Source organism: Homo sapiens, chromosome 20 (genome assembly GCF_000001405.40).
Source record: "Homo sapiens chromosome 20, GRCh38.p14 Primary Assembly".
NCBI classification, from domain to species: Eukaryota; Metazoa; Chordata; class Mammalia; order Primates; family Hominidae; genus Homo; species Homo sapiens.
The window spans coordinates 17,568,937-17,590,485 of NC_000020.11; the positions used below are offsets into that span (position 1 = coordinate 17,568,937).

Here is a 21,549-nt window from a genome sequence, read left to right on the forward strand (position 1 = left end):
AACACCCGCAGCAAAAACGCTGGGATTCATCTGGGCCCTCTGAAAACCGTGTTTCCGACGCAACCGCCCATTAGAAAAACACAATTCCAAATTAAAAACCCGGAGAACTGAGCGGCGGGGCTGGCGCCACCGTCCCGGGACAGCGCGGCCTTTCCCAGCCACACCCCTGCGCGCCGCCGGCCTCCTTCCCCGGCAGTTCCCAAAGATAAATAAATGCTCCTTGTTTTTCCAGACCTGAAATTAACGGTGACTCACAGAGCACTCTGCATGGCCACGGTCGCCTCGGGAAGGAGGAAAAATGTGCAGACTTTTTTCCCCTCACGCGAGGGCAGGACAAGCCAGACTGGGCCAATCAGGGGAGGGCGGCGGGAATCGCACCAAAGTAGGTAAAAAATGCGGGAGGCGTCCCCGCTGCCGCGGCCCGCGACTCCGCTCCCGTGGGTCCTCCCCCAGTGCGTTCCCCCTCCTCGGGCCCTGCCCTCCCAACCCCCAACATCTCTCTCCTTCCACCACTGTGTCCCTCTCCCTCACCTCTCCCCTTGCCCCCACCTCCCCCACTAAGTGCCCCCTCGCCCCTCCCCCCACATCCCCCTCCTCTCCCCACACTGTCCCCTCTCCCTCACCTCTTCCCTCCCCTCTCCATCCTCCTCCTCCCCCAACTATGTGCCCCTCGCCTCTCCCCTCCAAATCCCCCTCCTTCCCACACTCTGTACCCCTCTCCCCCGGCTCTCCCCTCCTTTTCCCCTCCACGGCCTCGCCCCGCCCCAGCGGCAGGCACACCTGGCCAGGTGGCTGCCTCCCCGCGCGGGCCATGCCTGCACAGTGGGTGGGGCGTCAGGTGGCCCCGCCGAGGAGGCGAAGGAAGGCCACCCCTCCCCCATCATCTTTTGCCCGCCCCTCGCCAGCAGGAGCCAGCCCAGTCCGCCTTCTAGCCTCCTGCAGACCAGAGAGGACGCACCCCCACCCCTAAACACTTTCTGGTGAGGCGGACCCTGCCCCGCAGCCTTCAGCAGATGAGGGAAGCTCCCCTCCGAGACTCTGGATAGCCGCCGGGGGGGCGTTGCCTGGCCGGCTGGTTGCGTAGCAACGGCAGGCGGTGCGTGACGTGCGCAGCCGCGTTCCGTCCTGAGGCGCGCCCGCCCCGGGGTAAGCTCGCGCCGCCGCGTCAGCTCAGCGCTGGGTCTCTCGGTCCCGCAGCCGTGAGGAGGACGGTCTGCATACTCGCTGCCCGCCGGCTCCCTCCCCCGCGTCCCTGCGACCGCCGCGGCGAAGATGGTGAGTAGGAGGGAGGCCGAGGCGTGGGCCGAGGCGGCCGGGAGCAGTGTGTCTCTGGGGCGCCGCGGAGTCGGGGCTAAGGGGGTGAGCCGTGCCTCAGCCCGGGGAGGGACCCGGTCCGGCTGCAGTGTCCGGGCTGCGGGTGAGGGGGGGTCTCTGGGCCTCCGTCTCCCGCCGTCCTGGCTGGGCCCCCGCGCCCCGGGGTGGATCCGCGGCTGTTGCGCAGCTCCCAGCTGGGGCGAGGCCGCCGCCCTGAGCGTGGCCTCTGCGGGTGTCTCCAGACCCGGCCTTGCAACAACTGGCTGGGGTCGAGCGCCCCCACCCGCTCTGTGAAATCCATCCGGGGGTCTGCACACCGAGGCCGGGGAGTGGGGGGCGGGGGGCGTCGGAATCCGGCCACCGTCCTTGTTGGCGTGGGTTTCCCCAGAGCTGGCGCTGAGGCGCTTGGTGACTTGTGCGCGTTCCAGCCCTTGAGGTCTGTCCATCTCAATAAGGAAGATAAAGCCTTTATGGAACAGTCCTAGAGCACGGAATGATCGCTAACGAGCAGGATCCTGGCATGATTTAGAACGGGGTGGCCTTGCAGCTCCTTTGTTTTTTTCTTTTTATCTGGCAATCGGCTTCCAGCAGCACTCTCGTCGTGCTTGTCAAGCTTGGCAGTGTCTGTTTTAACCCTTCCCTGCCCGATCTGTCCGTGTATGGTTAGAATTTTTTTTCTGACCTGTAGACAGTTGGACTCTGCCAGAACTTGGTGCGCAAGGTGTGGGCATGATGCTGGGATGCTGATACAACCAAATTTAAGAGCTTTAAAAACCATTAAAATACTGGAGTCACCAGAAAGTAAACAGGTGCTCATTAGTATATTCTATATGATGGACATTTTGCTTAATTTACATATTTTCCCCCTTTACACTGTCACTCTAATTAGCTATTTAAAAACGTATTCTCAACTGAACTATCAGTTGGAACATTTTGTCGTTTTCGTTAGTGTGCACACACTGTTACCATTTTTGGTCAGTGATTTGCAGGCGTAGCCTTACCAGACTTTGCTAGAAATATTACACTGTAATTGCATCTGTCTAGAAGCAGTTGGTACCAGCTTATCTGCATACAAACTGTTTTCACTGTATAACAGTTTTGGTTTTCTTAAGTTACTACAACTTCCGTGAACATGCAGGCGGCCCCTTAGTGAAAGAAAAGATAAACCGGTAGTTTCTTGATGACTGTAGATATGTATGTAATAGGGATTTGATACTGTTCAGTTTTTGGTTCTTCTTTGGTTTAATGCTGTAAGCTACAAAGTATCAGCATCTTGAGTCTTTTTAATATCTAATTATTAGAAATTTAATAACATTTTAAATGTATATGCTACTTTATACTGAAAGACTTAATCTAGGGGCTTTGAGTTATGGTACGCTTAAGACCATTCACTCTGTGAAAGTGCTTTGAAGCTGACTAGGGTCTGCTCTAGAGACTTCTGATTTGACATTATGCTTTTTTATTGAGTGGCTAATACAGACTTTATTTTTCTGTTTGAAAATAAGAGACCAAACATTTTACCTTTAGTTAAATGCTTAGTTTTAGTTAAAGCTTAACTAAATTCAAGGAAGGAAGGGTCTGTTATATTTCCTGGTTCTTGTGAGGAGTGGGAGAAATAAAAATTAGAAATGAGCGATTTCCAAATACGCTTCAAAATTGTTGGCTTTAGGGAGATCAAGAAGACCTTACAAGTTACTCTTAGAGTTCAGATTATAGACCCCCCATTTTTAAAGGTTATTTTTGTTTTTAGCCTTATGAGCGCAGGAGCATCTTTGTTTAGTTCAGTGATTAGAGAATATTGTGGGTATTATCCCAGAGTCTAGCACTTTGCTTTTAGCTCTTTTGGTTAGATGCTTGGTTCCAAGTTTCTTTTAAGATTAAATTTTAACTACCGATGGGTTTGTTCTAAATTAGCAGAATCACTTCCTTGTACTCACCAAGTCTTTTAGAAGCACCTGAAATAAAGCAGTTTGAAACCAGCTGGGCGCTTCAGGATGAGATTAGATGTTTTCAGATGTCTCCTCCAACAAAAAACAAACAACGTCTGCCTCCACGTGAACCACAATTACAGACCCCAAACAAAACGTGTGTGTGTGTGTACTGGGTGTGCCAGCCTCCTTATACAGAGATTGTTTAGTAGCCCATCATCAAGTTACTAAGGTTATTTGCTCAGTAGTTCTACTGGATATGGATTGAGACATCACACCTAGACTTGCCTAGCTCCTCTTGTAACCAGAGTATCTTTTATGCTTCTTGGAAAGTAAGAGTGTAGTCTTGCCCCTGAAGTAGAGTTAAAAGGTTTGCACGATAATCTAACCCTTAACCTTATCCTAATCTGGACTGTGGTCTCACAGACTGAACTAATTGGCGCAGTATTCAAGTATTCTAATACTTGGTGATTAGCAAAAACACTACAACCCAGTGAAATAGGTTGGGCATGTATTCACATGCCTATTTAACATATGAGAAAACAGATTGTAAAGGATTAATTGACTTGAGACAAATCACCTTTTCCAACTCCAAGTTTTAAAATAATAATTTTGAAACATTTTAAGCAGAAAAGTACACAGAATAACAGATCCTTTTGTACAGGAAAAACAGGGCTATCTTATTGCCATATTTCAGGTTTTTATGTTATCATTACAGCTAAATATGCATCATCTTCCTCATCCCACTCCCTTCCCTCCCTAGAGTTATAACCATTCCTGTGTCAAAGACATAATATCCTGGCTGGTTAAGGAGATGATTTTATTCAGGCTATTGCAATTAGGAGAGCATTCCTGATTGCCTTATTTGAAAATATGCAACAGGCCAGTTCTTTGCAGTTACCTGTTTCCCAGAACACAAAACGGTGGGGTGGATTAACCATCACTGCTTTCTGAGAACACAGAGCTCAGGTAAAGTTCACAGTAGTCACCTGAAATTGATATTCATTGATAGTTCCATACTTTTAGCTACTTAATCATTCATATGTATTGCCTTGATGTGCTTTTAAAACTTACGTAAATACTGTGCTTCATGTATCCTTTTGCAGCTCTGTGAGAAAAAATTAAACTTTGTGGGGGTGGTTTTTTTTTTCCCAGGGGAGGGCAGCTTTTGGATTTATTTGTAGCTTTGGTTCTTCAACTGCTGAATTGTGTTCTTTTGTATGATTGTGCAAGTTTATCCATTCCCCTGTTGATAGACATTCAGCCATTTCCTAATTTTTTGCCTTTTTTTGGTCTATTTAAAGTTTTTATAATAGGCAATTTCCATGTCATATATTGCTATATATTACTTCTCTAGCCCCAGTGTGTATCTCTCCATGGTGTATATCTAGAAGCGGAAGCCCTGGATTGGAGCATACATATTTTCTACTCTACTACTGGTTCGTTCTGGTTGTATCTCATCATTAACAGCTTGTTTCTACATTGCCTTTCACCACTTAATAAGAGACTTGAAACCTTTGCCAGTCTGATGGTTGTGAAATGGTTTCTCATTATTTTATTTTGCATTTCTTTGATTACTAGTGAGCTGACTCTTTTCATATGTTTATTGCATCTTAGGTTTTTACACGCATGCTGCATCCTGCAAACCTGGCCATTCTGTAAATACTTACCATCTTCACCTAAGCTTATTTGCAGAGCCATAAAGTAAATGTAGCAGTAAAAAAAAAAAAAAAAAAATCAGCTGGATACAGTGGCCTATACCTGTCATCCCAGCACGTTGGGAGGTTGAGGCAGGAGGATTGCTTGAAGCCAGGAGTTGGAGACCAGCCTGGACAATATAGTGAGACCTTGTCTGAACAAAAAAATTAAATAAAAATTAACTGGGCATGCTGGCATGTGCCTATACTCCTAGCTATTTGGGGGACTGAGGTGGGAGTATTGCTTGAGCCTGGGTGTTAGAGGCTTCTGTGAGCTATGATTGTACTACTGCACTCCAGCCTGGCCACAGCGGGAGACCCTGTCTCAAAAAACAAGAACATGATTATCAATACCAGAACCTCATACTGAGGAGTAATATTTCTCTTTTCTGGCACATAAATTTCTTTCCAGGCCCCTTAGCCAGCTAATTACCAGAAGTTCAATACTCTCTGTTAATTCTATCCACCTGCCATTTTTAGGCCCCTGGTAGTGGTAGAATGTAGAGTGACTTAGGACAGAGTTCTTTCCTTCTTTGCCAAGGGCTGTGGAGATTAATGTCCTTCACTTTACACTTACCCCTCTCTTTCCTGGCAGTTCTTCTAGCCAAAATGTAAAAGCACACACAGTAGATATATGGGAACAATGCACTTCTGCTAAAATTTGCTGTGTACCTAAAACTTCTCTAAAAAATTAAAAGTCTATAGCTGGGCGTGGTGGCACGTGCCTGTAATCCCAGCTACTCAGGAGGCTGAGGCAGGAGAATCGCTTAAACCCAGGAGGCGGAGGTTGTAGTGAGCTAAGATCGCACCATTGCACTCCAGCCTGGGTGACAGAGCGAGACTCAGTCTCAAAAAAAAAAAAAAAAAAAAAATTAAAAGTCTAAAAAACAAACATGCAAAACAAGTAAACATGACTGACTTTCTTTTCTTTCTCCTTTCCTTTCCTTTTTTTCCTTTCTTTTTTCTTTCTTTTCTTTTTCTTTTCTTTTCTTTTGTTTTTTTTTTTTTTTTTTTTTTGAGACAGACTCTCTTGCAGCCACCCAGGCTGGAGCTCAACTGCAGCCTTGATCTCCTGGGCTCAAATGATCCTCCCACCTCAGCCTGCGGAGTAGCTGGGACTACAGATGTGCACCACCACACCCAGCTAACTTTTTAAAATTTTTTGTAGAAATGAGATTTTGCTACATTGCCCAGACTGGTCTCAAACAATCTTCCCGCTTTGGCCTCCCAAAGTGTTGGGATTACAGGCATGAGCCATTGTGCCTAGTGACTATTTTTCATAAATAGAATTTGTTTAAATCAAAATTGTGTTTAACTTAGTATACAGGAAGACTTCAAATTTTTGAGTTTTTATGTTAATGTAACTTTATATTTTCTTTCAGTAATATTTGAGATGAAGCACACTACATTTGAAATTTGAAAAAAAACTTGCAAGTCTTGAAAAACTGAATTTAACATACAAATGCGTTGATTTTGTCCACAGAACAACACTCTAGTCTCTGAGTAACTAGAGCTAGTCTCTTTGTTGTACTGTCATTTGCATATGTAAACCACAGAGCATAATAAATAAGTAGAATATTGTGAAAGCATTTTTTTTTTTTTTTGGAGACAGGGTCTCATTCTGTTAACCTAGGCTGGAGTGCAGGGGCGTGAACACAACTCACTGCATCGTCCACCCTCAGGCTCAGTCAGTCCTCTACCTCAGCCTCCTGAGTAGCTGGGACTATATATAGGCAGGCACAACCACTCCCAGCTAAGCTTTGTATTTTAAAAGCTTTACATATATAAAGATGGGATTTATAAATATAAATTTATATATAAAGACGGGGTTTATAAAGATGGGGTTTCACCATGTTTGCACAGGCTGGTCTTGAACTCCTGGGCTCAAGTGATCCACCCACTTTGGCCTCTCAAAGTGCTGGGATTACAGGCATGAGCCACTGCGCCCAGCCGTGAAAGTATCTTGAGTTTACTTCTCTTGTGGCATAACATTTCTGTCTAGATTGTCCATGAAAGTCATACACAAAGATTTACACCTAACACTTCAGCAATATTGTAACCACAACTTTTCTTCTGTTCATGCCTCCTTTCATTGATGTTGGAAGTGAGAAGTTTTCACTTGGAATTGTGCTTCTGAATTACCTCCTGCTCATTTTTCTTGAAATTTTACAATTGGGAGAGGCATAGACTTAGACAAATAAACATCGGTTTTATTCATCTCAGTAATACTTTGGGCCAAAATGTTATATTCATCATTGAATCTGCTGTACTAAGACCCCCATTGAGTTGAATATTTAGAGTGATTCTTAGCTCCAAGATTAGTCTTCTAGAAGCTGATACTGTAATACTTACATGCTGCCAACACTATTCCATGTTTTGCTTTGTTATGTTTTACGTAGATTTTTTGTTTGGAGGTTCTAGCAGGGGAGCGCAGCTGCTCATATAACCTTGACCAAAGACCGGTTCTCCTCTATCAGGAATGGTCATCCTCTTTGACCGAGTGCATAGCTTTGAGAGGGATGCACATGGAGTGGTGAGGGAGGAAGGGGACACCTGCCTAGCCAGCCAGATCAGCCGAATCAACCCTGGTGATCAATGGGGTGACAGATGTTGCAGCCAGATCGCCCTCACATCATACGTAGATTTTTTAAAAGCAATTGATTTCAGTAAAAAATGCAATTAAAGTTTTAAAATTAACAAAGTAATCTCTAATTGAAGGTGTGAAAAGACTGAGAACGTCTGTTGCAGCACGGCATAGATGAGTGCTTGAAAGATAGAAACTTAAGTTCATTCTACACCTGGAAGGTCATTTGTCATTGTGTTTGTGCTTTTGGATCACATCAAAGGAAGATTGTTTACTCCTTTGAACATTTTTACATTACTTCATAGGTTGTTATTTCTGTTTGCCTTCTCACAGGAAAGCAAGGATGAATTTCCTACCCTTGTTTCTATCTTGGCTTGCTTTCAGAAAATAGCTTGTAAATGTAATTAGTGTTTATTTTAAAATGGTTTCACAACTTTTCTGTTGCTATTTTCATGTACAGGTGGAGCATCCCTAATCTAAAAATCCAAAATTCTCTAAAATCCCAAACTTTTTGAACACCAACATATGGAAAATTCTACATCTCACCTCATGCGACAAGTCAAAATGCAGACAAAACTTTCACACATAGAATTATTTAAAATATCATATAAAATAATTTTCAGGCTATGGGTATAAAGTGTATATGAAACACAAATGAATTTTGTGTTTGGACTTGGGTCCTATTCCCAAGCTATCTCATTATGTATATGCAAATATTCCAAAATTTGAAAATATCTGAAATCAAATGCTTGGTACCGGAAGGTACTTAACCTGTAGTAATAGAACTAACACTAAAGCACAGCACAGGCAAATACAGGTAAGGCTTCTCCAACTTGCCCTGGAGCAATCTTTGAAGTCAGTTGTTGAAGCTCAGGAGTTTTGAGGAATTCTCAAATCATTGTAAGAATCTGCAGCCTGACCAACATGGAGAAACCCCATCTCTACTAAAAATACAAAATTAGCCAGGCATGGTGGCAGGTGCATGTAGTCCCAGCTACTTGAGAGGTTGAGGCGGGAGAATTGCTTGAACCTGGGAGGCGGAGGTTGTGGTGAACCGAGATCACGCCACTGCACTCCAGCCTGGGCAACAAAGCAAGACCCTGTCTCAAAAAAAAAAAATCTTTAGAGGAATACTCTAGTTATAAGAATATTTCATCTTTAGGCCAGTGTTGTCAAATGGAAAGAAAATACAAGCTATGTATATACTTTTAACTTTTCTAGTAATATTTTAATATACTTTTAACTTTTCTAGTAATATTTTTAAAAATTGAGAAATTTTACATATAAATTGTTTGAAATCCAGTATATATTTTACACTGAAAGCACGTGTCAATTCAGGTGCTAAATTTTCATTGGAAATACTTGATCTGTATTTAGATATGATAAAATTTACATTTGAAAAAGTAGATTCATATACTCAAGTTGCTCCAGACCTACTTACAAGTTTTCCAGTAATGGATAAGAATAAATTTTTAGAATTTAAGTTAATTAAAATTAAATGAAAATACAGTTCCTCAGTCACACTAGCCACATTTAAAGGACTCGTTAAGTCACATGTGGCTAGTGGCCACTTTATTGGACCAACCTAAGACTTTGTGAGTTGGCCTACTTAATTTGTAATGGGAAGTTGGTGTGTGTACCAACTAAATTCTCTGCATTTCTGCACATGTCCAAGAAACGATGCTGAGATAGCATATGAATTTCTTTATAGGACTTAAGATGTTTTATGAAACTAGACTATTGAGCTCTTTTAAGATGGGGATCGTACATTCCAGTAGCAAGATACCACTCTCATAGTAGGCCCACATAGATGTTACTGAATGAACATGAATGAGTGAATGGGAGAGGGTATTCTTAATTATGACAAAGGACAGGTTCCCATGGAGGTGGAGTCCTTTAATTTTTATACCTTCTATTCCCACATACCTTTTTTAATGTAATGGAAATTGGGTTTTAAGTATTGAATTAATTGAATAGTACCTCCCCTTTGTATACTGCATGATAATTTACTTTGAGTCTTACAAGTAAAAATCCTTCAAGATAGTTAAGGCAGTTATTAGAGTAATACCTTTAAAGTGATTGTGGCATATTGAAAGTCCTCAATAAATGCCAGTTTCCTTTCTTTCCTTAAAAATGAAACCGTGGAATTTCATGCTCATTGAGGCATCCTGAACCATAGAAAAGCGCTCAAAAGCCTAACAAATGAAAGAGCAAGAAGTGGCCGGGCGTGGTGGCTCACGCCTGTTATCCCAGCACTTCGGGAGGCCAAGGTGGGTGGGTCGCTTGAGGTCGGGAGTTCGAAACCAGCCTGACCAATGTGCTGAAACCCCCTCCTCTGCTAAAAATACAAAATTAGCCGGGTGTGGTGGCTCATGCCTGTAATCCCAGCTACTTGGGAGGCTGAGGCAGGAGAATCACTTGGACTTGGGAGGTGCAGGTGGCAGTGAGCCAAGATCCCACCATTGCACTCCAGCCTGGACAACAAGAGCGAAATTCCATCTCAAAAAAAAAAAAAAAAAAAAGCAAGAAGTAATGCTGTCTTACATTAACTTATAAGTATTTACCTTATCTCATTCAACCCTTATAGCAGTTCATTGAGATAGATATTATTTGTGTTAAACTGTACTGCCACATTAAAAGCATGTGCTCAGTGTCTGGCTGCTGGGTTTTTTTAAATCTTGACTCTGCCACTTGCACTAACTGTATGACCTTTGGTAAGTTCCTGACACATTCTGTGCCTCAATTTCACCATTCTTCCAAGTGGGAATAATAATAGTACCTACCACCACAACAGTATGAATGATGCATGTAACTAGTTTAAAGCAGTGGCACAGGCCAGGTGTGGAGGCTCATGCCTGTAATCCTAGCACATTGGGAGGCCAAAGCAGGCAGATCGCTTGAGCTTACGAGTTCGAGACCGGCCTGAGCAACATGACAAAACCCAGTCTCTACATAAAATACCAAAAAAAAAAGGAAAGCTAGGTGTGGCAGCGCATGCCTGTGGTCCCAGCTACTTGGGAGGCTGAGGTGAGAGGATTGCTTGAGCCCAGGAGCTTCAGGCTGCAGTGAACCAAGGTTGCACCACTGCACCTCAGCCTGGACGACAGAGCAAGACCCTGATCCCCCCAAAAAAAGCAGTGGCAGGTAGTAAAGTGCTTATCAGTTTATCAGTGTTAGCTAAAATAAATGGTGGCAAGCTTAGATCTAATTAGGTAAATAGTCTTTTGTTATTACTTGCTATCCAAGTGGAAGAAGCCAGAATCATTTATTTAACTCATTAAAAAGGGATTCCTGCCTGACTAATCAAAAGGCAGTTTATCCTTCAAGGGCCAGCTCTAGGAAGACCTGCCTGACATGACACCTCCCTTTTGTCATCATGTCTCATACAGAATCACTCATTTCCTGGGCTGTCAATGCATGGAGAGCTTGCTGCTGGTGCAGCATTAATCATATATAGGATTCTTTCTTATATCTGTTATCTCTACCCAACTGGATATATCTTTAGAATAGTTCAAAGTTTTGTTCATCTTTATATCCTGTATTCATCTTTATATTCTGATGACACCAGTGTGTGCCTCAGTAGTTGTAGAGCAAATGAAAAGAGTTGGAGGAGTGCATTAGAATGTGTTTCAATAGTTTTATTCTTTCTTTAATATTATTTTACTTGGAATCATTGTATATAATCAACTTTTTAATTTGAATTTTCAAGTGACTTGATTCTTGATGTAAAAATATCATTTTACACTCTTAGTTATATTTTTCCTGGAGTAATTAATGGAGAACTAGACAGTTTTGCATTGCCCTCAATGTTTAGAATAACAATCATTTATTCAACAAATATTTGAGAGATTTTTGTATGTCAAGAACTGGTCCAAGCACTAGGGAAACAAGTTCTTTCCTCATGGAAGTTGCAATCTGATATGGAGGAAGAGACAAAAAAGACAAGATCATTTCAGCTGGTGATAAGTAGTATGAAGAAAATAAGGTAATCAATAGGGAGTACTAAGGCCAGGCGTGGTGACTCATGCTTGTAATCCAGCACTTTGTGAGGCTGAGGTGGGTGGATCACCTGAGGTCAGGAGTTTGAGACCAGCCTGGCCAACATGGTGAAACCCTGTCTCTACTAAAAATACAAAAATTATCCAGGTGTGATGGCACGCGCCTGTAATCCCAGCTACTCTGGGAGGCTGAGGCAGGAGAATCACTTGAACCCGGGAGGCGGAGGTTGCAGTGAGCCGAGATCGTGCCATTGCACTCCAGCCTGGGGGACAAGAGTGAAACTCCGTCTCAAAAAAAAAAAAAAATGGGAAGTACTGGAAGAGTTGGGCTACTTTAGCTAGAATTTAGAGAAGGCCTCTTTTGAGGTAGGACTTACATGGCAATAAAGAGCTAGCTATGTGAAGAGCATTTAGGGCAGAAGGAACTCTTAAGTAGAAGGGCCTGTAGAAGAGAATGAGCTTGACATTTGCCAGGGACAGAAAAAAGGCTTGTGTGGTTAGCATTCAGTCAACAAGGGGGAAATAAGTAGAAAATAGATTATAGGCAAGAACTAGACCAGAAAGGGCCATTAGGTCAAAGGTGAGGAATTTGAATTTTATTCTGATGACACCAGGAAGCCATTGGGTGTGTGATGGTGGGGAGGTGTTAAGTAGTGTAGTGGAGCGAGATATGATTTATCCCTGTGGTTGATGTGTAGAGACATACAAATGGGGACAAAGACCAATTAAGAAACTATTGCTGGCTGTGTGTGGTGACCCATGCTTGTAATCCCAATGCTTTGGGAGGCCGAGGTGAGAGGATCACTTGAGGCCAGGAGTTAAAGACTACCCTGGGCAACATAGAGAGAACCCGTCTCTACCAAAAAATAAAACATAAATAACCAGGCATGGTGGCACGTACCTGTAGTCCTAGCTACTTAGGAAGCTGAAGCAGGAGATTACTTGACCCCAGGAGGTCGAGGCTATGGTGAGCCAAGTTCACGCCATTGCCCTCCAGCCTGAGTGACAAAGCGAGACCCTGTCCCTAAACAAACAAACAACAACACAACCAACTATTGCTTTATTCAGATGGTAGATGGTGGTAGCTTGAATTAAGATTTGTTAATAATGAGAGGTGGTAAGATTGGATATATATTTTGGGGGTAGAGCTGGAAGGACTTAATGATAATTTGGATGTGTGGCATAAGGGAAAGAAGACTATCAAAGATGGCTCGTAAGGCTTAGACCTGATCTACCAGATATTTGATGGTGTCACTATGCTTGAGGTCCTATAAAAGAACTAAAACAAAATAGTTTAGCATAAATTGAGGTTCTTAGAATTTTGAGGAATAAAAAAATTGATTCAAAAGTTTTATAAATCTTTAAAATACCATAATTTCATAGTTGATTATATAAAAGTAGTATATATTCATTGTAGAACATTAAGAAAAATTTAGCTGTAATGACAGTTCCAACCAAAGTATTAACATTTGGGACATTTTCTTTTAAGCCATTTAATATATATTCTCATTTTTTCAAGAAGTAATTATTAACTACCTTCTAGGAACCTGGCACTGTTGTTGTAGGCTCTAGAGATTCAATAATATACAAGAAAAAGTCCCTGTCTCTATGAAATATACATTTTTTTTTTTTTTTTTTTGAGACTGAGTCTCACCCTGTTGCCCAGGCTGGAGTGCAATAGCGTGATCTTGGCTCACTGCAACCTCCGCCTCCTAGGTTCAAGCGATTCTCCTGCCTCAGTCTTCTGACTACTGGGATTAACAGGTGCGCGCCACCACGCCTCGCTAATTTTTTATATCTTTAGTAGAGATGGGTTTTCAACCATGTTGGCCAGGCTGGTCTCAAACTCCTGACCTCATGATCTGCCTGCCTCAGCCTCCCAAAGTGCTGGGATTACAGGTGTGAACCACCACACCCGGCCCCGAAGTATACATTCTAATGGGAGAGACAGTTAAGAAATAAGTAAACAAATAAGATAATTGCAGATTTTATACGTATTATGATGAAAATAAGGGAATGAGAGAGTGACTATCTGGAGACTGCCAATATAGATTTTTCTCACACACTTGAGTTAATCTATAAAGGATAAAACTGTATTTCCCATTTCCCAGTGTGACGTGAGTGCCAGGATAATTCAGTTGGGGGGAGAATAGTGTTTTCAACAAATGGTGCTGGCACAATTGGATATCCGCATGCAAAAGAACGTATTTGGATCCCTGCTTCATACTGTATGTTGTATTTAACTTAAAATGGATCATAAATCTAAATGTGAGCACTAAAGCTATGAACTTCTAGAACACATAGGTATAAATCTCTGTGAACTTGTGTTAGGCAATTTTTGTTGGTAGTTTTCCTGGCCTTTCTAGGCAATGACACCAAGAGCACAAGTGACAAAAATAGATAAATTGGACTTCATTGTATTCAAAAATGTTCATCAAAGAACACCATCAAGGAAATGAAAACACAACCCACAGAATAGGAAAAGATGTTTGCAAATCATATACCTGACAAGGAGCTTGTGTGTAGAATATATTAAAGGACTTACAACTCAACAATCAAAAACCCACTTGTTTGGGCAAAGGATTTGAATAGCTGTTTCTCTAAAGATGTGCAAATGACTAATAAGCCAATGGAAAAAAATGCAGAACATCATTAGCCATTAGGGAAATGCAGATCAAAACCGCAAATACTGCTTTGTACCTGCTAAGACAGCTATAATGAAAAGATTATTGTAGCAAATGTTGGCCAGGCTATGAAGTTGGAGCACCCATACATTGCTGGTGAGAATGTAAAATGGCGCAGTAATTTTGGAAAATAGTTTGGCAGTGCCTGAAAAAATTAAACTTGGGAGCTACCGTATGACTCAGCAGTTTACTCCTACCTACATATCCAAGCAAAATGAAAATGTATGTCCACACAAAAACTTGTACACAAATGTGCATAGCATTATTATTCATAGTTGCCAAAAGTGATAATAACCCAGTGTTCATCAGTTGATGGATAGATGGATAAATGTAGTATATCCATGCAAGGGAAGGGAATATTATTTGGCAATAAAAAGAAATGAAATACTGATACATGCTACAACGTGGATGAACATTGAAAATATGCTAAGTGAAAGAAACCAGTCCCAAAAGATGACATATTGTGTGATTCCATTTATACAAAATGTCCAGAATACACAGATCCATAGAGACAGAAAGTACATTAGTGGTTAGTAAGGGCTGGGGTGGGTGGGAGTGGGAATGAGGAATGACTGCTAATGGGTTTGGAGTTTCTTTTTTTTTTTTTTTTTTTTTTTGAGACAAGGTCTCTGTCACCCAGGTTGGAGTGCAGTGGCATGAGCATAGCTCACTGCAGCCTCTACCACGCTGACTCAAGTGATCCTCCCACCTCAGCCTCCTGAATAGCTGGAACTACAGGCCCATACCACCATCCCTGGCAATTTTAAAAAGTTTTTTTGTCAAGATGAGGTCTCACTATTTTGCCGAGGTTGGTCTTGAACTCCTGGACTCAAGTGATCTTCCTGCCTCAACTTCCCAAAGTGCTGAGATTATAGGCATGAGCCATTACACCCAGCCCAGGGTTTCTTTTTGTGGTGTTCAAAATGGTCTAAGATTAGGAAGTGGTGGTGATGGATGCACAACTTTGTGACTATACTGAAAACCCACTGAATTTACTACACTTTAAACGGGTAAATTTCATGGTATATAGAATATATCTGTAAAAACTACTTAAATTGTTTAATAATATCATGCATGTACATCACCCTCATGTTAAATTTATTTTTATAAGAAATACTCTGTCATCTTGTGCATAAATCTTGCATTTCTTCAAAAGAGAGTCCTAGGTATGAAATCACTGAATCAAAAAGGTGTGTGTATTTCTAATATAAAAAAATATGCTTACCTGCAGGGCACAGTGGCTCACGCCTGTAATCCCTGCACTTTGGGAGGCTGAGGCAGGCGGATCACCTGAGGTTGGGAGTTCGAGACCAGCCTGACCAACATGGAGAAACCCCATCTCTACTAAAAATACAAAAAAATTAGCCGGGCGTGTTGGCGCATGCCTGTAATCCCAGCTACTCGGGAGGCTGAGGCAGGAGAGTCGCTTGAACCCAGGAGGCGGAAGTTGCAGTGAGCCGAGGTCACGCCATTGCACTCCAGCCTGGGCAACAAGAACGAAACTCCGTCTCAAAAAAAAAAAAAAAAGGCTTACCAGAGAAAACTTAGAAAATATAGAAAACTAGAGAGAAGATAAAAATCAGTTATAGCCTCACTTTTAGAGATAAAATTGTGGAACTTCTTTTTCTTCTGTACTGTTTTTCATAATTGAGATTATACTGTACATGTAACTTTATATCCAGCTTCTTCATTCACTGAAAGTAAGTCATAAGTATTTCCCACATGCTTTTCAAAACTTGGCATAAACATGATTTTAACAGCTGCATCAGGAACTATCCTGTGGATATACTATCATTTACTTTGCAGTTCTCCTGTTTTTATTTCTTTGGGCTGTCTGTTTTTTTAGTATTATGTAGATTATTTTCCTAGAATAAATTCCTAGAAGTGAGGTTACTGGGTTAAAGGGTCAATGGGTATGGATTATTATAAGGCTCTATGATATAAATGGCCAAATTGCTTTCTAAAAGATATTAATGAGTAATAAATAGGGTTGCCTGTGGTGGAAGACAAATCTGGAAAAGTAGGTTGGTTTACACAATAAAGTGCTTTTTATGGTCTGTTAATAAATAAGGACTTTATCTTGTGGGTGCTTGGGAATTGTTAAAGACTTAATCTTGGGAGTGATAGGAGATTTTGAGAGTAAATGAGAGGGAATAGATTTGAAATACACATTGAAGGAGGAATTGGCAGGGCTTAGAAAACTAGGTGTGACTGGGAAACAGGTAGATTAGTTAACCAGCAATATCAAATCTGTTTCATATTTATTGATTTGCTAGTTAACCATCCAGAGAGAACTAAGACAGCTTGTTAAACCAAGGAGAAATTTTTCACATTTAGCTTACTGTTTGGTTAATATGCTGTTTCTCAAAGAGTAGAATACTGAAAGTATTATTCACCTTGAAATAAAAATTATATATCTAATTTAGTATAATTTACATAAAGTGAAATTCACCCTTTCTGCTGTAAGTTCTGGAAGTTTTGACACATATATATGTACACACACATATATACACACACACACATATATATACATACACATATATAGTTGTGTAACTACAGCCACAGTCAAAATATAGAATAATTCCTTCACACACAAAAAATTCCTCATTAATCCCTCCTCCTATCCCCAACAACCACTGATCTGTTTTTTGTCTCTATAGTTTTACCTTTGCCATGTAAATGGAACTGTACATTGATACACTTTGAGTCTAGCTTCTTTTCACTCAGCATAAAGCATTTGTGCCTCAGCAGTTCTATTTTATTGCTGAATTTTATTCCATTCCCCAGTGGAGAGGTATATTTTATTTTATTATTTATTTATGTATTTATTTTTCTGGGTTAAGGAGCAGAAAGTTTAATAGACAAAAAAGAAGAGAGAGAGAGAGAAAGCTTCCTTATGCTGAGAAAACAGGTCGCCCGAGAGAGGGTCTCCCTGGAGAGATATATTTTAATTTTTTCTTGTCTCAGTTAAGGATGGGGCAGAATATTAGAATGATTTTTTCCTCTTTCTAATGCTCATAAATCCTTGAAACAGTCATTTTCTCTACCTTAGATAAAACTAATAGAACTTACTATTGCACACTTGATAGACTACAACCTTTATATGCACAGGGAAACCAAAAAATTTGTGTGACTTGCTTTATTGCTATGGTCTAGAATTGAACTTGCAGCGTCTCCAAGGTATGCCTGTATATACTAGGAAAAGGGACATATTTTAGGACAAAACCAATGGCTTGCCTCATAGGACCCAGTTTCATCATTGCAGATTTTGATTTATAGCTGCAGGTGATGGTTGTGCCTAGGAGAATGGTAGGAGGTATTGTAATTGAATCTTACTGTGTTGAGAGAACTATTCCCTTCTCTTTGCTGTTGATATGGCTTTGCTGTTTAACCACTTAATAGTCATGTGGAGAAAGAAGAGATGCACATTAAATTCTTAGGTTTGTTTTTAATTCGTAGTTTTGATTATCAGAGAACAAATGGAAATTACTGTTTCAAATCAGTCTTAAGCTGTTTGGTTTCTTTATCCATAACATTCTGTTACCCAAAGATTTCAATAAAAATTGGCTGCATTGTTAACTAGAAAGAGTCGAAGAAGCTCTAACTAGATTTTCTGGTTAATGTAAGAGTCTTTGCTTAGTGCATGGAAGGCCTTATGTGTGTTGTTTTAATCAGTCCTTTTGAGTTAGCAGTATGATAATTCACATTTTACAGATGATGAAGCTGAGGATTAAAGAAGTTAGCTGACTTGCCCAAGTTACAGGATTTTAGTAAGTCTGATTCAACCCTGTGGTACACTTTCTCCTCTGGTTAAAAAGGTCTTCAAAGGTTAAATGTTCCAAATTCTGTTTTTGAGAATAACACAGCCAGTTTAAAAATATATATATATTCAGTATTTGACTTGCTCAATTTTCCCAGTTAATTGTAAAATCAGAAATAGCCCTGTGTGTAGTATTGTTACATACAATGAAGTTATCTTTATTGCTGTTACATAAACCTTATATTTTAAATCCATTATTTCACTTCTTCCCCAATAACTAGGCTTTTGTTTCTCAAGGAATAAAAAAAAAAAAAAAAAATTCTTGTTATGGCATCTGTAAGAATTAAGGTCTTTGCTTAAAGTCAAGTCCTTATTATTTTTTTGAGACAGGGTCTTGCTCTGTTGCCCAGGCTGGAGTGCAGTGGTGTGATCTTGGCTCACTGCATTCTCCACCTCCTGGGCCCAAGTGATCCTCCCTCATCACCTGAGTAGCTGGGACTACAGGCATGTGCCACCACACCTGGTTAAGTCAGGCCCTCTTGTATGAAACTTTATGATGATCCTTCATTTTGGTTGTTTTGACTCTTTCCAAATTAACACTCGGAATAGGTACTTTAAAAAAAAAGAGTTTATCTGAATTTCTCCCAAGATTTCTTCCTTGCCCTCAGAAATAGTTAACCATAGTTAATTGTAGTAAACTAGAATTGAAGTCTTTACCCTTGGAGGCATTATTCTTTTTTTTTTCTTTTTTTCTCTTTGAGTGACTTTGATATTAGAGGCATTAGTCTGTCATTGTGTACATGATAACTGAGTTTCCTGATGACAGCAGGCATCAATCAAGCTAAATAATATATTGTTTTCTGAGGCAGAAAACTATGAAATATGGTCAATAAATTTGTTTACTCCAGACATACTACTTTGGTATTAACAGAGTTAATTTTATGTGTTACTTTATATCAAACTATTTAAAATTTAAAATTTCTTCAGCTTTATTAGCCACACATCAAGTATTCAGTAGCCACACTTGGTAGTGATTACCATATTAGACAGTGCAGAAAAGGGACATCTTCACCTTATGTAAAATGCTGATTTACTGAGCACGAGACCAGTACATAATGTACTGTTCCCTACTTGCTTTTTTTCTCTTGCACAGTGTATGACCATACCCTCCTTCTTTCCCCTCCAGGCACGTTTCCCCTTTAAATATTGAAGACCTCAAAATCATCTTTGCAGAAAGGCATAGGCCACAGACTGTTTCCGTGCTTCTGGGTTCTTTTCTTCTAGGCATGTCCTAAACCTTGGCAAAATAAATTTCTAACTTGATTGAGACCTCAGGTACTTTTGGTTTACAGAATTCACCTATGTCCTGGAATCCCCTGTTTGAGTTATCCCACCTTTCCAGACTTAACCAATGTACACTTTACCTCTATTGATTGATGCCTGCTTGTAACTTCTGCCCCACCTAAAATGTGTAAAATCAGTCTGTCACACAACCACCTTGGGCACATGTTCTCAGGACCGCCTAAGGCTATGTCATCAGCATGTCCTTAACCTTGGCAAAATAAACTCTAAATTGAGGGGAATAAAAAGGAACATTTGGCTGGGCACGGTTGCTCACGCCTGTAATCCCAGCACTTTGGGAGGCCGAGGCGGGCGGATCACAAGGTCAGGAGATCGAGACCATCCTGGCTAACATGGTGAAACCCCGTCTCTACTAAAAATACAAAAAAAAATTAGCCGGGTATGGTGGCGGGCGCCTGTAGTCCCAGCTACTTGGGAGGCTGAGGCAGGAGAATGGCGTGAACCCAGGAGGCAGAGCTTGCAGTGAGCTGAGATTGCGCCACTGCACTCCAGCCTGGGCAACAGAGCGAGACTCTGTCTCAAAAAGAAGGAACCTTTGTATCATCACAGAAAGTTCTGTTGGACAGCACGGCTCTCTAGAACAGTGGGACAAAGGATTTAGTAAGGCATGACTTCAAGATGGTGGTGGTGGTGGGGAGAGTGTTTCAGCACTCATTTACATATGGTCACCTGTATCCTCTGACTACTCCAGAACTACTGTTTACCTTCTCCAGAGAATAAACTCCAGAATTCCAGGGGTAAGGGGCTGGCAGCAGGATGGCGTTCAGGAGGGAGTCTAGGGATCTTTGCTTCTCAGACCCATTTCACTCATTCTTCCTTATTTGAACTTCCATATTTCTTCTCTTCTTGTCGTGGTGGACTTATGTTCTTTTTCTTTTTAATCCCATTTTTATACTTTAAGTAGAGTTTTGGTAGGGAGATGTATATATTCAACCCCTAACCCTCCCTCCCCCTACTTTTTTTTTTTGAGGCAGTCTTGCTGTGTCGCCCAGGCTGGAGTGCAGTGGTGTGATCTCTGCTCACTGCAACCTTCGCCTCCCAGGTTCAAGTGATTCTCCTGCCTCAGCCTCTTGAGTAGCTGGGATTACAGGCACACACCACCATGCCTGGCTAATTTTTGTATTTTTAGTAGACACGGGGTTTCACCATGTTAACCAGGCTGCTCTGCTGACCTCAGGTGATCTGCCTATCTCAGGCTCCCAAAATTTTGGGATTACAGGCGTGAGCCGCAGCGCCCAGCCAAGTTCCGCATCTTAATATAGGACCTGTGAGGCCCTGAACACTTCTGTGAAGCAGAAATGTGCTGAAGAACTTGTCACTCTCATTTTATTTATTGTCTCAGCATGATTGTTCAGAAGCATCAATTATAGCAGCCAAAAGCCCAAATATTTTGTCATTAGTCATTCTGTTTCTATTGGCCCTTGTGCAAGGCATGGTATAAATAAAGTAGAATCGTGAACCCAGTTTTTAACTCCCTAACTCCTTTGAGAAGTTGGTAGAAGTAGGTAGATTAAGATGCTGATGACATTTTTGCCAGTTTGAAAATTTGCTATTGAAAATTTGAGTATTTGTCTGCAGTATCCTACATTCAAATATTTCAGACTTTACCTTAGAAAAAAATTTTTTAATTAATAATTTTCTGAGGTAGTTAAAATAGCTTTCATCCTGTTTTCTCTATTAATAATAAGGATCATGTGAAGTTTAGTTGTCATTAATTATGTAGCCAAGGTCAGGTGTCTGTCTTGAGTTTAGTAGTACGGAAAAAGACCACCGTTTCTGATTTATTTTGGTTTAGGAGGGACTGCTGTAAGCTATCATTGCATTTAGCTTTTGGACTGGTTCAGTTATTTACAAAAATCAAATTAGAAAAATTTAATGCTCACGTTTCAAAGGTTACTATCCTTATGCTAGAATTGAGAGAATTGTTATTTTAAGTTGTGTTCTGTCCTTTGCAACTGTAAAATACCCAGTGTTCCATATTCTTTGTAACATTTACTTCCCTCTGTGAGTGAGTAGTAACATTTTTAAAGAAGCTTACACAGTGATTCTTAAGTATGCATGCAGGGCCTCAGATGTATTGATTTAATCTCTGAAACATTATTTCACAAAAGCTGTGCCAGAGGAGACTCAGACAGGTTTGAGAACAAGTTAAAAACTGGTAGTCAAGCGAGATAAAATGCAGTGAAGTATATTTTTAACAGCTATTTTTTGACATGGGGGTG

The 21,549-nt window shown here is 41.1% G+C and overlaps 2 protein-coding genes and 1 pseudogene across 3 annotated transcripts in view, besides 3 other annotated features; 1 reads left to right on the plus strand and 2 right to left on the minus strand.

Moving 5' to 3' along the window:
* The window catches only part of BFSP1 (beaded filament structural protein 1), a 75,316-nt gene extending 75,032 nt beyond the window's left edge, over positions 1 to 284 (minus strand). The window contains exon 1 of the mRNA NM_001278608.2: positions 235 to 284. The gene's annotated coding sequence lies outside the window, so the exon portion shown is untranslated. The remainder of the gene's footprint in view (positions 1 to 234) is intronic.
* Positions 102 to 669: an enhancer, noted in NCBI's record as "H3K27ac hESC enhancer chr20:17549683-17550250 (GRCh37/hg19 assembly coordinates)". NCBI's record gives its function as "activates a minimal SCP1, AML or CMV promoter by ChIP-STARR-seq in naive H9 embryonic stem cells {active_cell/tissue: H9 hESC(naive)}" and the evidence as "EXISTENCE:reporter gene assay evidence [ECO:0000049][PMID:30033119]".
* Positions 1,080 to 1,269: a silencer, noted in NCBI's record as "silent region_12689". NCBI's record gives its function as "represses an Ori minimal core promoter by ATAC-STARR-seq in GM12878 lymphoblastoid cells {active_cell/tissue: GM12878}" and the evidence as "EXISTENCE:reporter gene assay evidence [ECO:0000049][PMID:35858748]".
* The window catches only part of DSTN (destrin, actin depolymerizing factor), a 39,845-nt gene continuing 19,434 nt past the window's right edge, over positions 1,139 to 21,549 (plus strand). For both annotated transcript variants that reach the window (NM_001011546.2, NM_006870.4), the window contains exon 1: positions 1,139 to 1,275. Coding sequence is in view for 1 of the 2 variants with exons in the window: in NM_006870.4 (NP_006861.1) it covers positions 1,273 to 1,275 (3 nt within the window). In the remaining variant the exon portion in view is untranslated. The remainder of the gene's footprint in view (positions 1,276 to 21,549) is intronic.
* Positions 1,290 to 1,579: a silencer, noted in NCBI's record as "silent region_12690". NCBI's record gives its function as "represses an Ori minimal core promoter by ATAC-STARR-seq in GM12878 lymphoblastoid cells {active_cell/tissue: GM12878}" and the evidence as "EXISTENCE:reporter gene assay evidence [ECO:0000049][PMID:35858748]".
* RN7SKP69 (RN7SK pseudogene 69) lies at positions 7,344 to 7,573 on the minus strand (annotated as a pseudogene).